This window comes from Homo sapiens, chromosome 14 (assembly GCF_000001405.40).
Source record: "Homo sapiens chromosome 14, GRCh38.p14 Primary Assembly".
Lineage (NCBI taxonomy): Eukaryota > Metazoa > Chordata > Mammalia > Primates > Hominidae > Homo > Homo sapiens.
The window spans coordinates 71,650,057-71,677,413 of record NC_000014.9 but is presented as its reverse complement, the minus strand read 5'-3'; the positions used below and the strand labels follow the sequence as shown (position 1 = coordinate 71,677,413).

Here is a 27,357-nt window from a genome sequence, read left to right as displayed (position 1 = left end):
ATGGGAGAACATTTTTACAATCTACCCATCTGACAAAGGGCTAACATCCAGAATCTACAAAGAACTTAAACAAATTTACAAGAAAAAATCAAACAACCCCATCAAAATTTGGCAAAGGATATGAACAGACACTTCGCAAAAGAAGACATTTATGCAGCCAACAGACACATGAAAAAATGCTCATCATCACTGGCCATCAGAGAAATGCAAATCAAAACCACAATGAAATACCATCTCACACCAGTTAGAATGGCGATCATTAAAAAATGAGGAAACAACAGCTGCTGGAGAGGATGTGGAGAAATAGGAACACTTTTACACTGTTGGTGGGAGTGTAAACTAGTTCAACCATTGTGGAAGTCAGTGTGGTGGTTCCTCAAGGATCTAGAACTAGAAATACCATTTCCCAGACATCCCATTACTGGGTATACACCCAAAGGATTATAAATCATGCTGCTATAAAGACACATGCACACATATGTTTATTGCGGCACTATTCACAATAGCAAGACTTGGAACCAACCCAAATGTCCACCAATGATAGACTGGATTAAGAAAATGTGGCACATGTACACCATGGAATACTATGCAGCCGTAAAAAAGGATGAATTAATGTCCTTTGTAGGGACATAGAAGATGCTGGAAACCATCATTCTCAGCAAACTATCACAAGGACAAAAAAACCAAACACCACATGTTCTTACTCATAGGTGGGAACTGAATAATGAGAACACTTGGACACAGGAAGGGGAACAGCACACACTGGGGCCTGTCATGGGGTGGGGGGAGGGGGGAGGGATAGCATTAGGAGATATACCTAATGTAAATGATGAGTTAATGGGTGCAGCACACCAACATGGCACATGTATACATATGTAACAAACCTGCACGTTGCACACATGTATCCTAGAACTTAAAGTATATATACTTAAAAAAAAAAAAAAAAGGAAAATGCCTGGCACCTAGTAGGGGCTCAGAAAGTTTGCTATACTGTCCCTGTCCTTTCTTCTCTTAAAAAAATTGTAGTTTGGAAACGATTCATAAGGGGTCTGCATATTTTCCAAGAACAGGGAAGAGAGCCTTGTTTTACATGTTATTTTATTTATTTATTCTTATTTTTTTGAGATGGAGTCTACCTCCGTCGCCCAGGCTGGAGTGCAATGGCACGATCTCAGCTCATTGCAACCTCTGCCTCCTGGGTCAAGTGATTCTCCTACCTCAGCCCCCAAGTAGCTGAGACTACAGGCATGTGCCAGCACGCCCCCCTAATTTTTTTTGTATTTTTAGTAGAGAAGGCTGGTGAATCATTTGAGGTCAGGAGTTTGAGACCAGCCTCACCATGTTGCTCAGGCTGGTCTCAAACTCCTGACCTCAAATGATTCACCAGCCTCGGCCTCCCAAACTGTTGGGATTACAGGCTTTTACATGTTATTTAAGTACTACTTTTTTGTTGTTGAACTATTATATATATTTTAAAAGCTGCATTTTCAAAATGAATGACTCTCCCATGTGAACACACAAATCCATTTGTGTTTGTATTAGATCCTGGGGGTGTTTGTATTACATACAGTCATCACCTCCCGCACCCCCTTGCTTGTGTCCCTCTCTGGGTCCTGGCGACCCTAAGAACCACCAGGCTGAGGGGTAGAGGAGCAGCTTGCCTCAAGGAGGCCTGTCCTGCCTCTCGCTGCAGCTGCAGTGACTGGTGGTGAAGTCCCAGCTGACAAAGAAGAGAATGACTATTCAAAGAACAGAGTAATTAGTTGCTACAAAAACAGCAGTGGGAGTGTGAAGTGCGGAGGAGAAGAAAAAAATGACACAAGAGCATTATTCTATTTTGTTGAAAATTGTAACAAGGTGTTAATGCTTCAGCTGTTCCCTTTGAAGTTATCTCTAAAGAAAGGAGAAAGGAGCAGGCTTTCAGCCCTCCAAAGGCATCAAGGCATTTCCCACCTGCCCTGCCCAGGTCTGACTTTTCAGATGGAAACTGTATGGCTTTTCAGATGGAAACTGTATGGCTTTTCAGATGGAAACTGTATGGCTTTTCAGATGGAAACTGTAGTGAAAGGGGCCCTGTGTCTCCCTCCAGGCTGGTGGGGCTGTGCAGTGCACTAATCCTTCCCCCAGCCTCCCCTCCTGGCACCCAAGTGACATGTCACTGGCAGCTCCACTGGCTCCTCCGGGAAGGCCTGAGAGCGTCACAGCGGTGTGACAGCTCATTCACTCCCTGGTGTGCTGGAGCTGGTAATCATCCCATCTACCCCAATGCTGCCTGCAGTGACATCACATCGGTAGCTTGGAACCAGCCACAGTGGGAGTATCTGCACCATAGAAATCAGCAAATACTACAAATAAAGTTTTCTTCACCCCAGCAGAAAGCCAACTCACCAGCACATCACTGCTGATTCTAGTGTATAAGGAAAGGATCTGTGCTCTAAGCACACAACGTGGCAGTTCAGAGCCTGGACTCTGATGTTAGACCTAAATTTGTCAGATGAGCTTAGCAAGTTACTAACCTTTGAGTCCCGGTTTCTTTTAAAACAGGAATGCGGCCGGGCGCGGTGGCTCACGCCTGTAATCCCAGCACTTTGGGAGGCCGAGGCGGGCGGATCACGAGGTCAGGAGATCGAGACCATCCCGGCTAAAACGGTGAAACCCCGTCTCTACTAAAAATACAAAAAATTAGCCGGGCGTAGTGGCGGGCGCCTGTAGTCCCAGCTACTTGGGAGGCTGAGGCAGGAGAATGGCGTGAACCCGGGAGGCGGAGCTTGCAGTGAGCCGAGACCCCGCCACTGCACTCCAGCCTGGGCGACAGAGCGAGACTCCGTCTAAAAAAAAAAAAACAAAAAAAAACAAAAAAAAAACAGGAATGCTACTAACACTATCACAAGAGAGGGTTGTTATGAGAATTAAATGCACTAACCCATAAAAAAGTGCTTTTTTCAGGGCCTGGCATATTAAGGTAAAAAACTCAGTATATTAGTTATTTTCACTGACACACCACAATATATCTAGTCTAGTATTCCTCCTATCATGGCTCCATCTATCCAGGATCAGGCCTCTTATCCATCTTTCTAGTAACAGCTATTTCCAATTTCGATGTCTGTACTGTTGTCTCATCCCACCCACAGTCACACAAACCCATTTCCCTCTCCTTTCCCGCATATAAACCTGGGAGCCTAGATACAAGGGAAAGACTTCTGAGTGGGCAAGATGGCATCATAAGGTCAAGGGCTCCATATTTCAGTAGACGGTCCTTAGACTAACATCTGTAACTCTTTACTGTAGGTAATTAAGGTTGACAATTTACAAAGCTTGGCTATCTTCTCCCATTTATAATTGTCTGTTCAGAAGCAATAAAGTAGACAATTTGAAGGAGAGACAGCAGAGAAAGAGACAAGACAAGGAATGCAGCAAGACTGGAGACTGTCATAAGCAAGAACCCCACTGCCTTTCTGAGCCACCTCACATTATTTTTTAAATCACAGTTCAGCACATTACTTAACATTTAATGATGATATGCTTGGGGAAACCAGAAAAGGCTAATAAGGTTCATTAGACCTGGTTAACTAAGGCAGGGTATGTGGGTAGGGCAGTTTCTGAATATTTACTCCTCTCCAAAACAGGTGAAATTAAAAGTTCATATTTTGATTTCCAGGGAAATGCAGTCATCCAAAAGGAAGTTCTTCAAACTATCAGACAAAGGAATTTTTCTATATTTTGACATATATACATAATCCCTAGGCCATCTAGGAGGTAAGCAGTATTAGGAAATACTATCCTGAGCAAAGTATATAAAACACACACACGCACACACACACACATATATATTTGCTGCTCTTTACTTTTTAAAAGACACAAATAGCCTATCATAACCATTAACTTTCTACCATCTGATATTCACAAATCCATGAGAGCTCAGGTGTAGGACTGGTCATCTTAGTGGCAAAATAGGACACAGAACACTGTCTTGGCTTTAGAAAGCCTAAGAATCAATTGCCAAAGCTTAAGAGAAATTCTTAGAAAATAATGGCATAAACTAAAAAGAGAGATCTTAAAAACTAGCAAAAATAGCATGTGCATGTCCAAAGGAGAAAATAAACAGTTGATTAAATTTCTTCCACCAATAAACCTCCCCAGAGACAGAGAAATTAAATTTTCAACAGTGCTGCTGGCTTGGCAGGAGCTGTGGGGGGTTGGGTGGGGCAGGGAGCTCTTAGGTTTTCCCTTCTGGAAAAGACTAGGAACCAAAATGCCAAAGCACCATGAGCAGGGGCAGCTCACCTGAAGCCAAACCCTAGCACATGCAGATACAGTTAGGAAAGCAGCTGCCAGACTGAGACAGCAAAGGTCCAAACAATTGCTGAGTTTTGGGCAGCAATTAGGAGAGAGAAGAGAATAAGAGCATCATGGAACATAGAAGAAAAGCAATCTGACAATTTGAGATGTTGAGTGTCTTTTAATGTTCAATGTGTTCAATGTTTCTCAGCTCCCAGTGGAAAATTCTTAAGATAGATATTACCAGACTTCTCTATCTGTCATGGCAACTTTATAAATCCAGTGATGTAAATCCTGGGAATGGTCCCATTTAGTCACTCTTTCCAGCTGCTGTCACCACACACTGAAAGGGAGCTTCGTCCTGAGTCAGACTCCATGGATGAAACATTCAGCATCACATGTAACCTATTGTTCTTCACAACACCCTACTCCACTACCTGCTAAGAGATGTTCTACATGGTACACAAACCCTGCACTCGAGTCTCAGGCCCACAGCTGTCTCCTCAGACCTACCTCCGCGGGGTGCAGTCATCATGCGGGGGAATGATGACAACCTTCACCGTGACAGATGTTCTCAGGAGGTCGATCATCTGCTCATGGCTCAGAGTGGCTACCGCCACCTTGCAGATCTCCACCAGGCGACTGCCCTGCCTCAGCCCTGCCTGCCAGGCATAACCGTAGGGCTCCACATCCGCCACAATGCCCTCATAGTTGACATGGAAGCCAAGCTGTCCTAGCCCATTTCTTCGCAGAGTCATCTCCACCGATTCACAGCCTTTTGAAACAAACTAGACAAGGAAATAAAAGATACTGTGGTTTAAAGCAATAGGGTATTAAGTGGTGGACATGGAACTGGAAAATCATTGCAAGCAGGGTTAGTTCTGAATACCTTATTGCCAGCTGAAGAGCAGTCTGGTTATTTCCTCTTCACTAATCTCCTATTCATTAGGCCAAAAGGAATATACTTGTTGCATCCAAAAAGCTCAACGGCTTCCCTGAAGTTACAAGGAAACCTCTACCAGAGACCTACAGGGAGCTGGCAGTAAATAGAAACCATATACTGCTACTCATTTAGCCTTTGTAAAATTCAAGGCAGCAGATACTCAAGCAATTCTTTTCAACACCACCACCAGATGACTGGACTGCAGCACCAGGGAACAGGTCACATGCAAATGGGTTTTGAACATGAACGCACACACACACACACACACACACACACACACACACACACACAGAGTAAATGTGTCTTCCCCAATTTGTTCTACTTTTCCGAAACATCCATGGAAAACACAAGCATGAGATAAACTCTGTTTGCTTCACACATCAAGGGAGTTTTCAGAGGAGCTAATAACAGAGCACAAGGTTCAGTAACTTGGCTCTAGTCTGTATTGAAAACTTTATGAAAGAGAAACTGCATGTAAGGAAGAGGAAGGAGAGACTCACCTGCAACCTTTTGACAATCTCTTTGATCTCCTCAATGTTAATAAAACTACCCACTGAAACACATTCTCCTCGTTCATAGAAGATTTTGAGGCTGGTGTCAGTTGAAGTCCACCCTATCACATCTCTACAGGAACAATTGAAGACCACGCTCTTTGTTTCCTGTTCAATGAGCACAATGAACTCATTGGAGATCCCTAAAAGGCAGTCTAGTTCCATGGCCTTGTTGTAGTCTTCAGCCCGGACTGCCCATACAATGGCCCCCATGCTGCTGAGCTCGGCTCCTGGATATGGCTTAGACTTTTCCTTCTTCTTGGAAGCCAGAGAGATGAACGGAAACTTGCCAGAAGGGTCGATAGGGGTGTTGGTGACATTCTTTTCTGCCAGATCTTTCAGGTATTCCTGGCGGGTCCGAGTTGCCATGGCCCGAAACTTCTCCGATTTATGAGCAGCATTTTCTGCATTAATCACTTTCGCCAAAAGGAAGTCCCTGAACACATTTGACTTAGGGAAAGTGACCCCTTTAGGAATGGGAGGCCCAAAGGAAGGCACATCTCTGGACCTGGTAACAGCCACACTGAGAGACAAAGATCAAAGAGAGCCACGTCAGTATTTCTCAGTCTCACAACATCAGAATAAAATATACTTTCTCAAAGACAAAGATGTACCTCAGATACAAAATAGCTGCTTATTTTTCCATGAGAAACAACACACATTTCTGCTTAATACGAGTATATTTTTTCATTCTACCGCATTTAGGATTTACACAACATAATTTTTTTTCTAGGCCAAAAACAAACCTCCCAAAATCCCAAAAGCTAACACTATTAACTTTTTTTTTACCAGACAGGAAACTGACCAAAACTCCATGAAAAAAAATAGGTTTACTGTAATATTCTGTGTAAGACATTTTAAATACCTACTAACTGTTTTCAAGGGAGGTTACTGTAACCACATCATCTTTCAGAACAAGCATACATTCTGTGAGAACACAAATGTGTTCTCCATTTTAGATATGATGGCTATAAGCAGACAGCTTACATTGAAAATATCAGAAGATGCATGCCATAAAAGAAATGAATTAAATTTCAATAAAACTTAACTAGTATTTGTTGGCCTAAGTGTGAGGCATTATGCAACCAGATTAAAAGCATAATTTTAAAATGAAAATTGGAATCTGAGTAATAGTATGAGAATCTTTATGTAATAGCAACAACGCTTTAAAATCATATTTTTAAACTGAGCTATTCCTTGGTCCTTTTGGTATTTTATTCTGATAATCTATTTCTAAGAAAAATATTTTCCTTCTCCCATTCCTTTAAGCAAGATTGATATAAGAAAGCCTGTTCCAGTCATTTCTTCTGACTATATATTCCTAAAATTGGGCCTAAGAAAAGGATCATATGAACATTTGTAATAACTTATTATTTTTAACCTCAAAAGGAAAAAAAGTAAGTTTCTCCTAAAACAACAAAGGAAGTTGTTGATATAGAAATAGAGAGGTTGAGTGTTTTATATCATTTCCCAAGATTTTAGTAAAGTTTGACATGACTGGAAATGATTCTAACACATCGAAGATCGCTCTTTCCAAATTAAAAGTGAACAAATTATGCAATTATACTTAGTATTAGGGAAACAATAAAAAAATCGGTTTCTTCTGAACTCTTGGAATAGAAATGGCATCATCAGAGAGTATGCATCTTTCAAATAAAATTGAAGAGCTCTGTTTCACTTTTTTTTCTTTAGGAAGGGTTTGCTTTAAGATATTCAGCTTTGTTTTTCAAGAAATAGTTATTTCTTGTGAAAATAAGAAAAATAAAAATCAGCAACCTCAGGAGGCAAATTATATTTCTGGTGGAATGGAAAAGCTACATGCTCAGAAGATGCCATGGGATGGCCTATCTGTTGGTTTTACAAGTGTATTTTTAAAAGACTACCTAGTTCACTTCATGACAAAGAACAGTGGCAACCAACACTCCATTTTCTAACTGGAGGAGAGAATTCAGAGACTTCCATATGGCTTAATTATACCAATATGTATTAGGAAGGCAATTTTTCTTGTCTATTGTGAACTGCCTGACTTGAACGCTGACAGCTGTATAATTTTAATTTGATCGTGTTATTTTTCTCTTAAAGTCAAGCAAAAGATGCTGAAATCCAGGTTTGCTAGATTTTTCTAAGTGGAATCCTGTAAGAATCCAGAAATATTTAATATCTTTCACTTTAAAATTGGCAACTTCTCATCTGCTATTTCACTCAAATTGTTATTCCTTCTCAGAAAATATCTGTGATTTTATTTTAAATAAGGAGAGCAAAATGTTTAGCAGGGGGTGTGATTTTAAGCACCCTCCATCTACTTGCCCCTTAAACTAACTGGCTTTCTGCAGATCCATTTATTAATTGATAGAACTTTAGACAAACATACACTGAAAACCTACCAATAATTAGAAACAGCTATAATGAACTGTGAGGAAAAGAACTGAATCCTTACCATATAATTTTCAATGATTCACTGTGGTAGGGAGGTAAATGATACAGGCACTGAAATCAGCTTCGCATAGTCAGAAATAGAATCCTTACAGAAGATGAGGAAGATGATACCCTGGAATGCTCTTTTCAAATAAATGATTTTGTTTTGGATAAATCAAACTGGCAAGGTTTCTACAAGGTTAAAAGCTCATTAATTTAGATGCCACAAATTCTGAACTCTTGATAATAAGGCCTGGTTTAAGCTAAACAGAATATTTAGAAAAAAAGCCTTTCTAGAATCTCAGTTTGCTGCATGTAGTTACTTAAGATATATTAATTATAAACGGTTCTTGGTATTTTTAAAAGCAGATTCCAAAGGGCCTCTGCTTGGCTGTATGTATATTAGCCTAGTTGGCAATTCTGTGTCTTCTTGGAAATAATACATGCTTTAAAATCATAGCCATGCTTTATTTACCCAGCATTGTTGAGGACTGGAATGTTCTACTCAGCAGGGTTATCTAGATGACAGACAGACAGAGCTAGAGGCTAAAACAGTGATGGAAAGTTATCACAGGAAGGGAACTTAACAGAACTCAATGTTCCTCAAATTCTTTCAGTAAAATCTTTGGGTTTCATTTGAAAATTCACCTCGATTTTACATTCTACTGAAAAATATTTGTGTTCATTTTCATATAAAAATATCTTCTCACTCCAAAATCTTTGGGTACACTGAGCGACCAGGAAGGTGTCTTGTTTGTATTCTGTGGTTTGACATCTTCATGAACCTCCGGTTGAGCAGCTGGTACAAATTCTTCACTTCTCCAGGAACAGATACAGAGAAGTAAAAGGATTTACCCAGATTTGTTAGAGAGAGCCAGGATTGGAATGTAAGCTTCTGGACAGCCAAGAGAGTGCTCCACGACAAGCCCACACTTACTCCCTCTGAGGAAGTGCTTTCAAACCTCCTACTCCTGAGGTGCCTGCTAAAAGGGACCATTCACATGGGTCACATGGCCTAAGAGATGATGAGGCTATTTCTACTCGATATGGGCCATGTAACATTGGTTGGCATCAAAGAGCTTGAATGAAATAACAAGTGTTGATACCCAAAGCCAACTTCAAGCTGACACATGAAAATGTTCCAAAGACTTTTTTTTTTTTTGAGACGGAGTCTCACTCTGTTGCCCAGGCTGGAGTGCAGTGGCGCGATCTCGGCTCACTGCAACCTCTGCCTCCTGGGTTCAAGCAATTCTCCTGCCTCAGCCTCCCCAGAAGCTGGAACTACAGGGGCCCGCCATCTCGCCTGGCTAATTTTTTGTATTTTTAGTAGAGACAGGGTTTCACTGTGTTAGCCAGGATGGTCTCGATCTCCTGACTTCATGATCCGCCTGCCTCAGCCTTCCAAATTGCTGGGATTACAGGCATGAGCCAACACGCCCGGCCTGTTTCAAAGACTTCTGAACAGTTTAGTGGATAAAAATTGAGAAATATAAGACATTTGAACTTTGGAAGCACAATGGAAAAACAGCAATAATCAACAATCCCCAGCCCAAAATTTAAAAGGAAGGTGATACAGAAAACATCAAATGGGAGAAGGAAGTTTCCTCTTCTTGGAGCCTGAATCAGATTACTGGCCAGGGCAGCTTCCAAGAAAGCAGATCTGGGCAAAGGACAGGAAAGATCAAACACGTGCCAATCATTCTCTCGATTTCTAATAGTATTGATCCACCAGTCACTGAGTACCTACTATGTGCTAGGCACTTTGCCTTTGCTGAGGATCAAGGCTGAAGATGTCCCGGGCTCAGCCCTCCAGAAACTCAAAGTCTGGTGGGAGCCACAGCCAGTGATTTGAGTCTCCTACTTGCGAAGTACAGGGTGCTACTGGTAGCACTTAGGAAAGGCACTTTAGTCCTGGGAGGTCCAGGGAGCCTTCTCAGAAAAAAGAAAAGCAGGAATTCATCAGATGGAGGGAAAGGGGAATGTGTGAGAGGAGCAGCATGTGCAGAGCGGAGGGGCAGAGCATGCTGTTCTGGGGAGTGGTGAGTAGCTCCAAAGGAGTGAGGTAGGCATGGGGTGCAGACTGGTAGATGAGACTGAGAGACAGGAGGCCAAACCTGAAGCCCCCATGCAGTAAGCTATGCTTGCAAGTCTGAACTTTCCTCTAAATGCTTTTAAGCACAATAAATGACATAATCAGATTCTTGTCTTAGAAAGGTCAGCTGCAGTGGACAATAGGGATGCTGATTAATTGAGGCTTGAAATAGACCTTCTGAAAGAAATTTCTATCACTTGACCTACTTGGATTTTTCTTCTTCTCAGCTGAAGCTTGCAAATTCTTTTTTTTTTTTTTTTTTTTTTACAGAGAGGAAAGAGGATGAACACAGACATTTAATGGACATGCATCACGCTTCCTCCCTGCCTATGCTAGACATTTTACTTAATAGGATTTTAAGTGGATGTCAAGCAACTTCCCACTGCACTGTTTAACAATTTGGTCTAATTCCAAGTGCTTTTTGTACTATATCATACAGATTCCTTTCAACAGTTATTACATTTTAATTACCGGGTATGGAAACCTCTCTGAGAGGAGTAACACATATTTCTACCTTCCTAAACATACCTACTGACCACAGTTTAATATTTGTTTTGAACAATCAGGGTCCTTGTTATGACTACTTATTACTATTTTAGTTTTAAAATGAATAACAACTCTTTTATTTCATCAAATAGTGTGTCAATGTTCCAATTTACAATTGTTTAGGATGTCCTAGGATTTTCTTTATAGTCTTTTTGTCTAAATTGGGATCCAAATAGGATCCACACATTGCAATTAATTTAGCTTTAAAAAATGTTTTATTCTGTAGATTCCCCTCCACTTCCTCACTATTTCTTGCAACTTACTTGTTGAAGAAATGGGGCATTGTGTCTGCAGAGTTATTCAGGGTCTGAATTTTGTCAACTACAAACATGTTCCTCTGTCTTTTGTATTTCCTATAAATTGGCTTTTCTGGAAGCTTGATCAGATTCAGATTTAATTTTTTTTAGGGGGTAGCAAAAATAATTCATAGGTGAGGTTGTATTCTTCCATTATGAGGCACATATTTGTCTCTTTTTATAGTATTTGCATCCTTTGATGATCAATGCTTAAATCCATTAATTCTGTAGTTGTTGAAAAATGGTATTATCTTACACTGTGTTTCCACAGTGAAGCCCTCAGGAGTGACTGAAGCACACAATAGTTCCCCCTTATCTATGGTTTTAACTTTCTGTGGTTTCAGTTAGCCGTGGTATAGTACAGTGAGGTATTTTGAGAGAGAGACCACATTCATATAACTATTATTAAAGTATATTGTTATAACTGTTATATTTTATTAATTACTGTTAATATATTACTGTGCCTAATTTAGAAATTAAACGTTATCATATAGGAACAAACATAGTATATATAGGGGTAGGCACTATCCATGGTTTCGGGCATCCTCTGGGGGTCTTGGAATATATCCCCAACAGATAAGGAGGAACTACTATATTTGGCTGTTTGCCCCAAAATCAAATGGCCCCAGATTGCTATGCTTATTGAATTCATATCTTTGATGTGAATAGTTTTTCAGCATCTCTTCTATCAATAAACAAGTATTTGTTTCCAGTATATACTCGCTATTAACAGCTCCTTCTTCTTTTTTTTGCTTCTAATCTTCTCTATCAACTGGGATCAGATAATTAAGGTCACTGCAACGATACAAATAAAACAATAGAGACTGGAGGGCTCTCATCAGTTATGGGATAAGCTTTAGTATGCAGACTTAGTGACTGATTTCTGAGTTCTTGGCTACATGATGACTCACATTAACTGGCCTCTGGAATTAGTCTGAATTAGTCAGTTATTCCTATATAAGCTTTCTAGTCCCCAGGGAGGTATAATACCACATTATTTTGAGATCTCATGTCTAGATCCACTATAGGGATTTTTCTCTCTTTGTTCTCATGTTATATCCCAGGGTCCAGAGTAGTGTCTAGCACATATATGCTAAGGGCTGGATAAAGAACTAATGAAAAATAAATGGATAATGACAGTCTCCAAATTTATCTTTCTGTGTACAAATTACCTAGCATGGTAACACTGGATAATTTTTCCTGGAATTCTACTTATGTAGTGTTGAATTGATGGCCTAGCATTCTGGAGGCCTCTACTGCCTGGTCATCTTTTCTGCATTAGTAGGCCTTTTTATTGTACTTTCCATCCTCCTTCCCATTTCTAGGCTTCTGTCCTTTCCACTGACCACTCCTAGAATGGTTTCTCTTTTTCCCATTGAATTCCATCCAGCTATGCTTTAACACACACATCAAATCCCATCTTCTCATAAATATCCATATAACTTCAGCCTGTAATGACCCCACACCTCTCCACACTATTACTGCAAGACACTCTTTCAAGGAAACTTCTCCCCTTTCCACAGTTCAGATACCAGGTAGGTGTAAGTAAATAAATATGTGTGTTCATGGTGGAGAAAGTTGGGACCAAGAGGTTTTAAATGCTAAAAAGCACTTGGGGTACAAAAAATAGAAAGAATGAATATGACCTAGTTATTTGCTAGCACAACAGGGTGACTATAGCTAAAAATAATTTAATTGCACGTTTAAAAATAACTAAAAGAGTATAACTAGATTGTCTGTAACACAAAGGATAAATGCTTGGGGTGATGGATACCCCATTTACCCTGGTGTGATTATTATGCACTGCATGCCTATATAAAAATATCTCATGTAACCCAAAAATATATACACCTACTATGTACCCACAAAAATTTAAAAATTAAAAAAACTTTAAAAAAGCATTTGAGTTACTCTAGCTATATCACTTAGGGATAAAATTAAATTAGATTTAAATAAAATGAGTATAAATCAACCCATGTCTAAGTTTTTCCACCAAACCACCCCTAATAAAACAGGCCTATAAATTCATATCCCTAGTAGTTCGGGGAGTGGCTGGGGCTTGAGAAAAATTCACAGGTGTAGAAATTCTTTGAAGACCCATGTTTTATCTGAAAACTGATATTTTCCATTCTACCTCATAATACATTTATTTTCATGAGAAAATAAGCTCGTCCTTACCCTGCCTCCCCCCAACATTAAAGGCTTGAAGAAAGGTGTCCTGTTTATTCTGTGTCTTCAAACACTTCCTGACATCACCACATACCTGAGGAGGTGTGCCTGCCTCTTTTGAGAAGGATGGCAAAAAATTATTGATCTTTAAAGTTTGCAATAGGCATAGGTCACTGCTCTATAATCTCTTGTGATTTCTTTCAGTGATGTTACAAACTAATGTTTTCTTGGATTTATAAACAGGCCAAAATTCACAGCTTAAAAGCTGTGTGTTGGGCCTTCAAACAAGCCTGGTAACTAGGAAATTCCAGACCTGCCCACATGTCTTGAGCAGGGGTGTTCAGTATCCCACTTCCCGCAAAGACTTCTAGCATTAAATGATGGGGTTCAAACGGTGGGCTCTCCAGGCAACAGATTAAAAATAAGAGAGAGAAAGCAAAAATCCTAATTTTCAGGGGAGGGATGATAAAAATAAAAAAACAAAGCACTGAAGAAGGAGAACATACCTCCCTGAGCAGTCTGTTTAGACTTGTGTGGTTCATTACAGTGGCCACAGCCAGCTGTGGCTATTGAGCACTTGAAATGTGTCTAGTGTGACCAAGGAATATCAAATTATATTAAATTTTAATTAATATATGATTTAAAAATGGATACTTAATTCTGTTATTTTAAAGATTTTTAAAAGTCCATTTGGAAGAATCTAGGTATATTAAATCTACCTTTTCATTATAAATTTTATGAAATCTAAATATACATCAAGTATCACCAATGAAAATTTAGCATTCTAATTGAGATATGCGGTAAGTCTAAAATGTACTTCAGGTTACAAAGACTTAGTCCAAAAAACCATGTAAGATGTCACAATAATTGTTAAATGCTGAAATCACATGTTAATTCATGTTGAAATAATATTTAGATATACTGAGTAAATAAAATGTATAAATTGGTCAAAAACAGTGTCAACATTAATTTCATCTATATCTTGGCACTTTTTAAAAAAATCTGGCTATTAAAAAATGTAAAATTAATATGTAGCTTGCATTATAGTCCCATTGGACGGTACTGATTCAGACAAAGGCTTGAAAAGAAGAAACTCTCTTTAAAAGAAACTGCATAGCTTTCCACTCCCCAAACTTTGAAGTGCCCATTCAAAATGGGCTTAACTTTCTACCTGTCAAGTGGTATGAAATCCTTTGCATGAATCTAGTACATAGCATGTTTTAACTGCTCAGAGTATTTTCTAAATGCAAATAGTTATCCATCCCAATTATAGTCAATTGTTCTGTGCTTTCATTCTACAACTAACCAGAGCAGCTCTCAGACACCATTTCCTTGATAAGAGGTTTCAGATCTAGGTCTTCATTGTTGGGGGTTCTGCCCCAACCCTAGGAAACTACAGACCTCCCTGGTCTTGGGTGTTCACCTAGGCTCAGCACCTGAAAAGTTCTGGAACAGCCTCTGTGTTGGGAGCTCGGAGTGAAAAACCCAGCTTTCCCAGCATGTAAGAGAGGCGGCATAGCAGCGTGGTTAAGAGACTGGGCTCTAGAATCAAACTGACTGCATTCCTGTCTAATTCTGCTCAACACTAGCCAGCTAACCTGAGGCAAGTGACCTGGCTGAAATTTCATCATCTGAAAATGGAGATAAAAGCAGTACCTACCTCATAGGTTTTAAAGATTAAATGGGATATACATGTAAGATGTCTAGAATAGTTTGGGGCTTATAACAAGAGCTCAACCAATGCAGTTATTAGGATATGTGCAAGGATGGTGACAGCCAGCAGGAGACCAACATAACCTCTACTTGTTTTTTTTCCCTAAGCTACGCTTACTCTACTCCTAGAATTAATCTGCCTTACTCCTAGAAATATACAATTGTGGATCTCACAAACTGTCAATGTGCACAGGTCACTTTCTATGCAGGTAACATTTTTTAGGGATGGAAAGATACGCCAAATGTCCATATTTTGAAAGGAACTGATGCACATTAAAAACATCTTACAAATGCCAGAACATTACCCTTACACATTCTGGCACTACACCCCTATCGAGCTAGCGTGACAGGTCCCTATCTCCTTCAACTCCTAACTCTAGTATTCTTACAAGAAAGGTCTCTGCAGATAGAGGCCTGAATTCTGATACTCATGTGACTACGTCAACAAGTAACACTGAAACAATTTCAATAATGCTAAATAAAGTATAGAAGCGTTTCTAAGCTTGTAGTCAGAGTGCTAACGTGAATCAAGTAAGTCAGAGGCAAGGATTTAGGCTTCTTTAATAACAATGCTTTTCAAAAAATTAACTTCTCTTCCCTATTTATTATAATCGTTCTTCTCTGCTCTTGCCATGCCAAAAGAAAAATATAATTAGCAATATGAGTAATTAGTTGGTTGGTGACCAGATGGTATGGATGAAGGACATCACCTAAGAAGGAGGTGCAAATGGAAACGGCAGGTGTCTAACCAACATGCTTGGGTAATGTCAATGCCACCAGATTACATCATCATGTGAATTCAGCCATCCGCATGCATGGTTTAAAGACAAAAAGAAATAGTAATAGACTTCCCATTGCCACTTTAGAATGCAGAGCTGAATGGGGCCTCTATGCGATAACCAGCCAACATCCACAGAGCCCCTGCTGTGACACCCATACACACCTATAACAGACACTGTCAGAGCACGGATTGTGCACCCTGACGATGACGAAAACGTGCTGGAAGTGGGATCGGATGTTTTTTGGGCTGAATGGCTGTGCTCCAGGCTCTTGGAAAACAATTGTTACGATATCATTTCCAATGTGCCGCTTCCTCAGGAGCTACAAGAAAAAATAAGCAACCAACATAAATAACAATCATTTGCTTCCCCCGCCACCCCAATTCCCTTATATAGCTGTATTTAAAACATCCATTCCTAATCAGTACACATGAAGGTAGGTAATCTACACAGGTACTGTCAATGTTTTCACCTGCCTTATTCCCTCTAAGGAAGAACATAGAAACGAACATTCTGAAATTTGCATAAAAGATACAGCCATTCAAATAGATCTACCCAATATCTGGCATATTATGCCAGGTCCCAACATCACCAAACCCTCAGTTTCTATAACAACAGTGTTGTTCCATTTTCACATAAGAAAAACACGTGCCACAGGGAAGATTTTTAGAGATGAGAATGGCTGAAATAATTACAATGTAATTTATGTTCTGGTTTAACTGGCCTCATTGAAAGAAAATGTGGCTAAGGTGTTTTCTGATATATGTTTTGTGTCACAAGCTGGGCATGTAGAAAAGAATAATATTCCAGAATGTTGCAACAATTAAAAGCAGGTAAATTTCAGGTTTAAACAGCTTCTTTAACTGCAATGAAAGCTGCTTAGGGACACCCTCTGTTTCACATTCACTGGGTTTTGGATGGGTGGCTTTCAAACTCAGGCACCCCAAATCATCCTAGGTCAGTGCCTTTCAGCAGTTAATTCAATAGTGTAAAGGAAAACCAAACAAAATTTGTGTTTCTCAAACTTACTGTACGGAGGCTCTTAAAAAAGAAAAACAACTAAGTGTGACATTTATATAAACTATCCATTAGACATAAGCTTGTACTTACAAAACTTGTATTTAAAAAAATATTCTCTGGTGACATTAAGGCATACAAATTGCAAACCAGTAAAATCAGTGATCTAGTATTGGCTGCCAGGTGGGAGAAATAATAGCCTTTTAGATTAGGGTTGCAAATTGGGAGTTAGAATGTTCAGGAAATGCACTTTTAACCTCAGGAATTTGAAAGCATCCCAAATTGTCTTCTAATGAAGCAATTTATTTCTGAGTTCATTTCTAAATATGATATACAAACAGACGTTATGAAAATAAAGGCTGGTGTGTATTGATTGCTCTACAGAACATACCAATAATTAAAGATTATTAATCTACTCAAGATCTTGGACATACCAAAAACAAATACTATTTATCTACATGTTATGCCATTCCTGCATAAATGATGTCATTTTCTGTAATATTATTCATTCTTCAAAATATGGCTTGACATATAAAAATAAATGTCTTAATAAAGGACCCAAATAGAAACAAATCCATTTTTCCATCTTATACTACATATAATGAAAAATATTTTATTAAAAATATTTGCAAAAGAATTTTTAAAGATACATTTTTCCTGGTTTTTTTTTCCAAGCATAAAGTAATCTACATAGAGGAAAATAAATTTTTTGGCTAGAGAGTGAAAATTTTTTCATATGTTGCAGTACCAATTTCTTTCTCATTCTGATTTAAGACTGTAACATTTTTGCCTTGATTGGACTCCAAAATTAAATAATTGAGAGAGCTGCCATTTAAATGCCCACTTTCTCTGCCTACCACTTCAACTCATTTAGTTACAAATAATCAATCCAATCTTGTTAGTAAATTTTTTACCCTTACAAATCTCATCTTTCTCTTCTAAGTGATCAGGCAGAATAAGCCTTTATGCTCTCTTTAAGGATCATTTTGTTAATGTTCTTAAATTTTTTATCTACTGACTGGTCAGAATAAGTTTATTATGCCTTTCTTAGCATGGTGTTTTTCTTTCAAAGAGAGCTAAAATCTGGAATTTGCATAAAACAAATTATCAACAAAGTACAGATCAGGGAGTTTATCTTAAAACAGGTTTACTTCAGATTTATAGCTGATTCATTGCTTTGCTCTCTATTTTTTATTACACTGGCAATCATGAAAGGCAAAACTTTGTTACCTAGATTTGTGATTTAATCAAATGTAAACTGATAAAGTGTTAGATTAGATCAGTGTTTGGTTAACTTCTGTGAAAGAGGATGTGATTCATTCTGCAGCTGGCCTGTGCTCTGTTAGCACAACAATTGACAAAAACAAAAATCCATATCCATTTGAAGGTCAGAAGTAAAATTGGACTGCTCAAGTTTGTAATAGCTTTTAAAAGAAGTGTGTGTTAGCTCTCTGGTTCTTTTAAATTTCAATTTGCTACTATTTATTTTAAAATATTTTAAAAAATCAACTACCACATATTCCCTAAAACAATAGTGCCAGTTTCCAGTTTGCTCTGTAACAATCTGTCACCTCTTAGTTTCCACATTTTACTACCTCACTTACACTTTAGTAATTGGGCATTGAGCTTTTAGATCATTTTAAGAGAAGCTCTGTGTATGATGTGCACATATGCAATTGTTATTTATGTTCTTTGCTATCTCCCAATGAACATGGTAAGGAAGAATATCATTCTGTTGACATTTGACTTTTTTCCAAGTTAGTATTTTATATCTCCTTTGAAATCTATAATGCAACCTCAGAACTTTCCTATTCTGTGCACTGACCTCTTGAGATGAAACTTCACCCACTCATGGATGTTCTTTGCAACCCTGCAGAGTCATGTAATCACCAATGATTTCAACTTGTTCCTCAGATTTCATGAAAACCTCAATCCCCGTGGGTGAAAAGCAAATGATTAATTCACAAAGGCATCCAGCTGGCTGTTAACCTAAAATTTGTGTCTCTTCATTTGTTTTCAGTTCATTTGCTATTCCTTACTTCCACAAAGCACAAAGCTTCCCGCTGCTGTGACAGGTGCAACACTAAATTCTGGTTTAAGATTTTACAAACTTGCCACTTAGGCTTCTAGAGGAAATGAAACAAGGGTGAAAACACAGATAACAGGAGGATCTCTTACCTGTTGTTTGTTGTTGGGTGTGTATGGCAGCATGGTAGAAACATGGAACATAATTTCATAATCTTTGTATGTTGTGTACAGAGAATGGGTTCCAGTGGAGTCAGCTACAGTTAAAAAAAATATAATGATGAGATGACTATAACAGGAAAAATAATTTATTTAAGAGAAATATCTCAAAAAAGAAAAGAGAAGAAAAGAAAATGATTTAGGATGAAAAGATTCTAGACAAGACAGGTGTTCTTCCTTTTTTTTTTTGTATTTGATCCTCTTTGGCAGTCTAGTGAAGCCTACGGATCAGATCCCTTCTCAGAATAATATTTGTAAAAGTATAAAATAAAAAACATAAGATTTCAAAAGAAATTATATCGAAGCGCACAGTATCAAATAATTTTAAATATGAATGCACAAGATTTATATAACAAGATTTAGCAGTTGGTCTAATATCTACTGTAATGCTGAAGACATGATGAGCACAAACACTCTTGAGATGTCTGCAACAACAAATAATATAATACGAAAATATCTGTGCTTTCTATTGGCAATGAAATCACAGGTAAATGAATTACTGTGGTTTACTGCCTATGGCCATAATGAACAGAAATGCTAAATTTCAACTTGGGGTCAGTGAAAATAAAGAAAATCTTATTTCCCATCCAAGTTCACAGACCCCTGAATTCTGTCGACACATCAAGTTAGGAAACATTTTTCTAATACTTCCAATTCAAGCAAGAGACTTGTTTTGTTCTTAAAAAAAAAAAAAAAGACAATAATTTAACAAGACCATTAACACTGAAGAACAAAGTTGACACAGCAACGTCTAACAATTTTTTTAAGACTTAAGCATGTTGTGTTCTCACTTTCCTTAAGAAAAAAAAAACCTCTACTGCCTTTATCTTAACAAAGTTTCAGAATCAGTGTTCCCACAAGTACCTGGAAGCTGCAGAAAAAAGTTATTAACTTCCCAACTCAAAGGGAATACCTGTTTAGACTCAAAGGATCTGGACTTAGGGGTTGCAAAAGGAACAGAAGTACATTCACTGTAGGTAAACTCAACCCTCTATCAACCCAATTTTTTTTTTTTTTTTTTTTTTGAGACAGTCTCACTCTGTCGCCCAGGCTGGAGTACAATGGTGCGATCTCGGCTCACTGCAACCTCTGCCTCCTGGGTTCAAGCGATTCTCCTGCCTCAGCCTCCTGAGTAGCTGGGACTATAAGTGCATGCCACCATGCCTGGCTAATTTTTGTAGTTTTAGTAGAGACGGGGTTTCACCATGTTGGCCAGGATGGTCTCAATCTCCTGACCTTGTGATCCACCCACCTTGGCCTCCCAAAGTGCTGGGATTACAGGCGTGACCCAACATACCTGGCCTCGACCCTATTTTTTGAGGACCAAAACACTTGATGGCATTTTAGAGAACGATGCTCTCAGACAAAGTCTCTGACACATACCAAAAGGCAACAGTAGTTCTGAAAACTTAGTATGCACAGCATCAGCTGTGGAGCTAAATTAAGAGGCAGATTCCCAGGGCCCACCCCCCAAAATACTCCTCAGTGGGTATAGGGCCTCACAGGGGAATCTATTCTTCACAGACACTCCCAGGTAGCTCTAATGCAGTAACTCCGCTGCCGTTAGGTACTGCTCTAAGAATAGACTACAACTGTGGCTTGCAGACAGCTTTCTAAAGATATTCTAGAGCTCTGAGTTTCAAGCTTGAGCTTGTTGGAGAATCTTAATTTTGAAGCTGACATAAAATGCGAAGGCTTAAAAATAGTCAAAAATAGAACAAAGCAAAGACTACTTTTCAAAAATTGGAAAACTATGTAACAACATATAAATATCCAAGAAAAATATCTTCTAAGTATTAATGACCATCACAACAAAAAAACTGTGTATTACTACAACAAAGGATTCAACTGAACTATTTAAGACAGGTCTTGAACGTGAAGAACTTATCTATTGTCAAGAACCCTTTCTATAAATATGTATAGAACAGATCAGCACATTTTAAAACTTTAAAGTGAATGTGTCACCACTGACGTGTACTTATACATGTGTTTCAAGTCAATTTTAAGCAAAATTAATGAAACAGAAAAAAAAAATGTCATTGGTATTCATTTATTACACTGTGCTTTATATGCCTGCTAGTTCTAAAAGGATTACTGCCAGAGAGGAAAACTGCTGGGGAAGAAAACACTGAAGATCATTTATTTTTCTACTTCTAGCCCCTTCTCTCTGTCCTCCACGTCTCATTTCACACAATGTATGCTATCTGACCAGCCTTTTTCTGAGGTCTTTTAGATTCATAGAGTTTTGCTGATAATTTTCAACAGTTTGGGAATAGTTTCAGAAGTTTCAGAGATGAAACTAGGGCTAAAATAATGAAACTTTTCTTTCCAAGAAGAAAAGAATTCCAAAATCCTGAAATTACTATGCACTTCATAGAGGTATTAAACTTTACCAGAAAGAATGAAAAAAGAATGTTTGCTATAAAGAAATAATTAACAGAGTAAACAGACAACCTACAGAATGGGAGAAAATATTTGCAAACCATATACCCAACAAAAGACTAATATCCAGAATCTCTAAGAAACTTAAGCAAATCAACAAGAAAAAAACAAACAGCCCCATTAAAAAGTGGGTAAATAACACAAATAGACACTTCTCAAAAGAAGACATACACGTAGCCAACAAACATGAAAAAATGCTCAACATCACTAATCACTGGAGAAATGTACATTAAAACCACAATGAGATACCATCTGATATCAGACAGAATGGCTATCATTCAAAAGTCAAAAAATAACAGATGTTGGCAAGGATTTTGAGAAAAGAAAATATACATACACTGTTCATGGGAATGTAAATTAATACAGCCACTATGGAAAACAGTATGGAGATTTCTCAAAGAACTAACAATAGAACTACCATTTGACCCAGCAGTCTCCCTACTGGGTATCTACTCAAAGGAAAAGAAATAATTTTATCAAATGGCACCTGCACTAATTTGTTTATTGCAGCACTGTTCACAATAGCAAAGGCATGGAATCGACCTAAGTGTCTATCAATGGTAGACTGGATAAAGGAAACATGGTACATATACATCATGGAATGGTACGCAGCCATAAAAAAGAACATCATCATCTCCCTGGCAACAACACACATGCAGCTGGAGGCCATTATCCTAAGTGAATTAACGCAGAAACAGAAAGTCAAATACTGCATGTTTTCACTTACAAGCAGGAGCTAAACAATGGGTACACATGAACATAAAGATGAAAACAACAGACATTGGCGAGTCCAAAAGTGGGGAGGAAGGTTGAGAGGAAGGGTTGGAGAACCCTACTCCACCTCAAAATCTCCACCTACTGGGTACTATGCTCACTATTTGGCTAATAGATTCACTAGAAGCTCAAGCCCCAGCATTATGCAATATACCCCTGTTAACAAACCTGGACATGTCCTCCCGAATCTAAGACTGTTTACTATATTACTAAGGAATAAAGCATCCAATGCTCTTATTATAATATTTTTAGTGACCATGAAACCCTGAAACTATGAAAGTTTTAATAGAATGACTATCAGGAAAATGAAAAAAAAAATGCTTTTTTATCTGGTTGAAGAGCGTATTGAGCAACTCTAAAGGGACAATGTGCTTGTAGAAGGAGGATGAAAGAATGATGCTACTTCATATTTGTATAGAGCTTTAATTAATAAGTAAATTCAGGCATTATATAGGTCACCTTGACAATCACATGATCTGCCTCCTTGACAATCACATGATCTGCCTCCAAATCTTTCTTTATGAAAAGTCTTATATCTCTTTTAAGATCTTGAACCTCAACTGCATTTATAACACTGCTGAAAAATGGAGGAGAAAACAAACAGTCACTAACATTGCAGCAAATTAATGAAGGCAGGGCTTTGAAGGAAAGCTTTTACAAACGGCTTCTAAGTCTCCTGTGTACTGACGTGACAAACAAGCCTCAGTCAGGAAATAATTCCCCCAAATAATCCACGTACGTAGCTAAAAATGAGGATGGTCTCCAGCTTTCAAATAACAAACTGCTTGGTGGGAAGTTTATTGTATTTATTGTAGTGTGAGAGAATGGTAATTATCTAGGTTATATCATCCAAATAAGAAAACAAAAAAGAAGGAAAAATCCCCTATTAAAAATTTCTTCATTGCAGAATTGTTCCAGCCTGTGACATATTTATTTGTAGCTTGCTTGTTTGCTACAAATCCTTATTTTTGAAATGTGTAGATGGTCTTTGCACAGATAACTGGGAAAAAGAAGAAATGGTTCAATAGTTCATTACTTCCCTGAGCCTCGTCCTCCTTTACAAAAATACTAAGAAATGAATATGATGATAATGCATGAAGTAGAGCTATCTCATGAGCTGGTTTGAGTACTGTTAGCTCAAGGGCTTAAGAGGGAGGAAGACATAGGCTAAAGGCCGGTCTTGGGGCTTTGCTATACTTCATTCTACATTTATGCTTTCTCTGAACACTTCATTAACCACACTACTGGGATCTATTCTACTTTCCTAATGCTTGCTAGCTATCTAACCATGGGCATGTTACTTAATCTAAAGAAGCCAATTCTGTAAAGTGGGGATAATTGGTATCTAGCAGGTTTGTCGGAATTAAACGAGACGGCATACATATCAAAAGTATCTGGGACTTCTGCTTCCAGCCATAATGAAGTGCTTGATACAGCACTTACCATGCCATTGTGAATAACTAGAAAAAATGATATAATAGCTGAAACAACTGTTTGCAGACATTGGAGAACAGGCAGCCTTGGATAGTGATCCTTGAGAAAAAAGAATACAGAAGATGAGCCCTATGACCCCTGGGCTTTCTACCTAGAGGTACTTGTGGGACAGTTGACACAGAGCAAGGTACTGAAGGGGGAAGCCAAGACAGACTCGAGTTCAGGAAGTCTGAGGTGACTGATATTTGCTAGGCAGAATACCAAAGAGAAAGAAATATCAGATGAAAGGTTCAGAAATCTGAATAGGGGTCCCTTTGAGTCTTGAGTTGGACAGTAAGCTGCATATGCATATGCATAAATTCCAAAAGCCAAGCAAAGACAAAATATTAGGGAAAGAACAACTACCAACGAATTATAAGCCAAACAATTCCACAGTTCACACTGGGTTGGGAGACATTAATGAGTTCTGAACAGCCACAGTAGACACTTCATTGAATATTCAAGTACTGAGGTGCAAGAAAAGTCATGCCTTAGTAGTAGGGCTAAGTTAGCCAGAGTAAAAGCTACTCTAGGTATGCTTTAACAAAGCTTAAAAATAAGACTCATAAAAATCAAGCTGTTCTGCAACTTCACTGCCTGCCAAAACAAAACTCAACACTTAAAGAAGATAACAAAATTAAGACACTGAACAATGAAACATTTACAATATCCAACATCTTATCAAAAACAACCAGACATGTGAGGAAGTAAAATATATACAAAGGAACCCCATTAAAAAAAGAAACTGAAAATGAGAGAAATGATGAAATTAGCAGATGAACATTTTGAAACAACTATTATAAATGTGTTTAGGGATCTAAAGGACAGCGTGAACCTAAAAAGGTGAGAATAGAAGACATTTAAAAAGATTATCAAATGCAACTTTTGGCCCTGAAATATAATATCTTAAATGGAAATTTCACTGGACGGGATTAACAATGAATTAAGATACCATGGAAGAAAAGAAAAACACAAGGAGCTTTAAGATATATTAATAGAAATTATCCAAACTGAAGCACAGAAGGAAAAAAAAAGGTTAGGGGGAAAAAAAAAAGAACCAGGGCCTCATTAACCTGTGGTACACCAGTGAGTGATATAACATATGTGTAATTGGAGTCTCAGAGAGATGGGAGGTTAAGACAGAAAAAATAAAGAAATAACAGCAGATAGTACTTTAATTTGATAAAAACTACAAACCCATAGATTCAAGTGACATCTACAGTGGGAATGATCCTTGAACATTTGTTCTGAAAAGCACTTTTTTAGAAAAAGAATTATATTCAAAGTTTCTTGACACAACATAAAGTTAGATTAAGTATGGTGAGATTACATCACAGCACACAGAACGAAGTCTTATCTCTAGTAGTGTCCAGCCCAGTAGGAGGCAGCTGAGGTGTACAGAGGCTGGCTGTTGCCTATTTTGGTGGTCTATGATTATTTAATGCAGGTTTAAATGGCATAGTGAATAGACTCTAGTTTTTGCCCCTATTAATAAGCTTGGAGTAAAAGAGATGATTTTGCGTACTGTCTTCTTTGGGGCTTCAGAGTAGGAATACTTCCCTACTTTTCGTTCATTTTAGGAAATGCGACATTTTAAAAGGACAGAAGGATTCTTTGAATCCTTCTCAGGAAATATGCCCTGAAAGGTCAGACATGCCTCATAAAGTTGAACTACTTAAAGGAGAGTAGTTCAGTGAAAAAGAATCTTTCCCTGTTGAAGGTATTATATAATTCCAAAACTACATTAAGAGGCTGTTTGGTAATCCAGGCTCATCCCCCTCTAGCCTTTGCAGTTGTTGGGATAATTGGACAAACTGTGCACAAAGTGCTTATTTTGTGTATTCCACTGCCTTACTACATGTCATGTTGCTTAACGATACCCTAGCTATACATTTCTCACATCACCCTTCATCACAGATAACACACAATCTTATCAACTCCCAGTCTGACCATTCATTTATAGTATCACTGAGCTTATTACACATTCTCTTCCCAGATCCTTTCAATAACTGTTTGTGGTAGTGATAATTTATACAGCACAACAAATGGGGGCAACATGAATGAACTGTACCAGGTGAATATCAGAATAGCTGGATAAAAAGAGTTTAAGGACATACTGAAATTTAACATCTTTATGCAGTTGCAAGCAGAGTACAGAATGTTAAAATAATATTTAAGCAGCTAGGCTATTTATGGGTTTTAATAGTCTCTCTTGCATGTCGTTTCCAAGTTGGCAACAGCAAAACCATGGCAACAGGAAATTCTTCCCTGCAGTGGAGTTTATGAATGCTTTTCTGTTTTCATGACTCAACTCCTTATTTAATTTCCTGTACAGAAAATCAGAGAGATTACTATAGACTGCAATACAGATGTGCTAATCCCAAGACCCTCTCAAAGAAAAACAGGTCACAGGTGTCTATGGATGAATTTAAAGATAAAATTTAAAACTGCTTTCACACAGACACATAGCAAAAGTCAACACACTCTTTGATTAGTCCCAGCTAACCAAAATAGGCATTTGAGAATGTTAACTATTTTACTGACAACTTGGGGACTGGACATGGACAACCTTTTAGGTTCATGCACCATAGTTAAACAGATTGTTTCATTATCATGCTTTTAATCAACACATTTTATGAGCTAAACTAATACCAAAGCTAAAAAGCCTATTTTCTCAGAGATTAAGTAGACTGTGAATAATAATAATAGAAACAAAAACCCTAGATGTAAAAAGAATACAAAAAAACAAAAACAAAGGCTGACTACATAGATAAACATGAAGACTATGAAATGAATTAATGGAAGTCAAAAATTCCAGGCTTACACTCAGACAGTTGTAAGTTTCCGGAGTTTTTAATCACCCTAACATTTGGCTAAATGTAATGAAATTTACACAATGCTCACCCAGGAGCAATTCTGCACGATCTGTGTCACTGCCCCACTCCATGCACACACCTCTGACAACACTATTTTTTTAGAGTCTAATTCTAGCTACTTTGGTTATGATCTTCAACTGTTCTGGTGCTACATCCTCCCTCTCTGGCTTTCTCTCCCCCATCACCAGCAGTGTTCTGCGATAAATGGCAATGTTGCTTTACGGATAATTTAGCAGATGCACAACAGCACAACAGGGGGAAAATAAGCCTAGTAGGAGGGTGTAAGTATTTCTTACTTTTGGTATCAAGCTGTGCTCGATACTTCTCAAATCCTTTGAGCCGAACTCGCTCTCCCAATAGTTGAAGAAATTCTTCAAAGGCTGGGCCAGCTGACTCATTGTTGTACATCTCTTCTTCAGTGCTCTGTCCAGCTTTGCAGTACATGATGCCTACTTTCTGCTGGTAGTTCAGCTGTGAAGGCAGGTAATACGATGCATATAAATATAGGCAGATCCACTTTGTCCCAGTCAAATGCTAAAAGGTCCTATAGGGCACATGCCCAGAAAATAGCTAACACCTTTCTTCTCTTGAAATCCTTCTGTATTTTCCGTCTTTGATCCAAAATTAAGTGGAGCAAGTATCTACGAACTTCATGAACTGAGAAAAGGCCAGAAAAATAAATGAAAATTTCCTGTATGTAAAGATCATGCACCATTAAACAGATCTGTTGGTACTATAGGAAATTTCTG

General features: G+C 38.3%; 1 protein-coding gene across 58 annotated transcripts in view; it reads right to left on the bottom strand.

Annotated features, from left to right (window-relative positions):
- The window catches only part of SIPA1L1 (signal induced proliferation associated 1 like 1), a 420,734-nt gene that overhangs the window by 63,796 nt on the left and 329,581 nt on the right, over positions 1–27,357 (bottom strand). For all 58 annotated transcript variants that reach the window (XM_047431217.1, XM_047431229.1, XM_047431218.1 and 55 more), the window contains 5 exons: positions 26,905–27,079; positions 18,978–19,081; positions 15,947–16,104; positions 5,722–6,295; positions 4,792–5,066 (listed from right to left, as the gene is read on the bottom strand). In XM_047431217.1, coding sequence (XP_047287173.1) covers positions 4,792–5,066; positions 5,722–6,295; positions 15,947–16,104; positions 18,978–19,081; positions 26,905–27,079 — 1,286 coding nt within the window. The remainder of the gene's footprint in view (positions 1–4,791; positions 5,067–5,721; positions 6,296–15,946; positions 16,105–18,977; positions 19,082–26,904; positions 27,080–27,357) is intronic.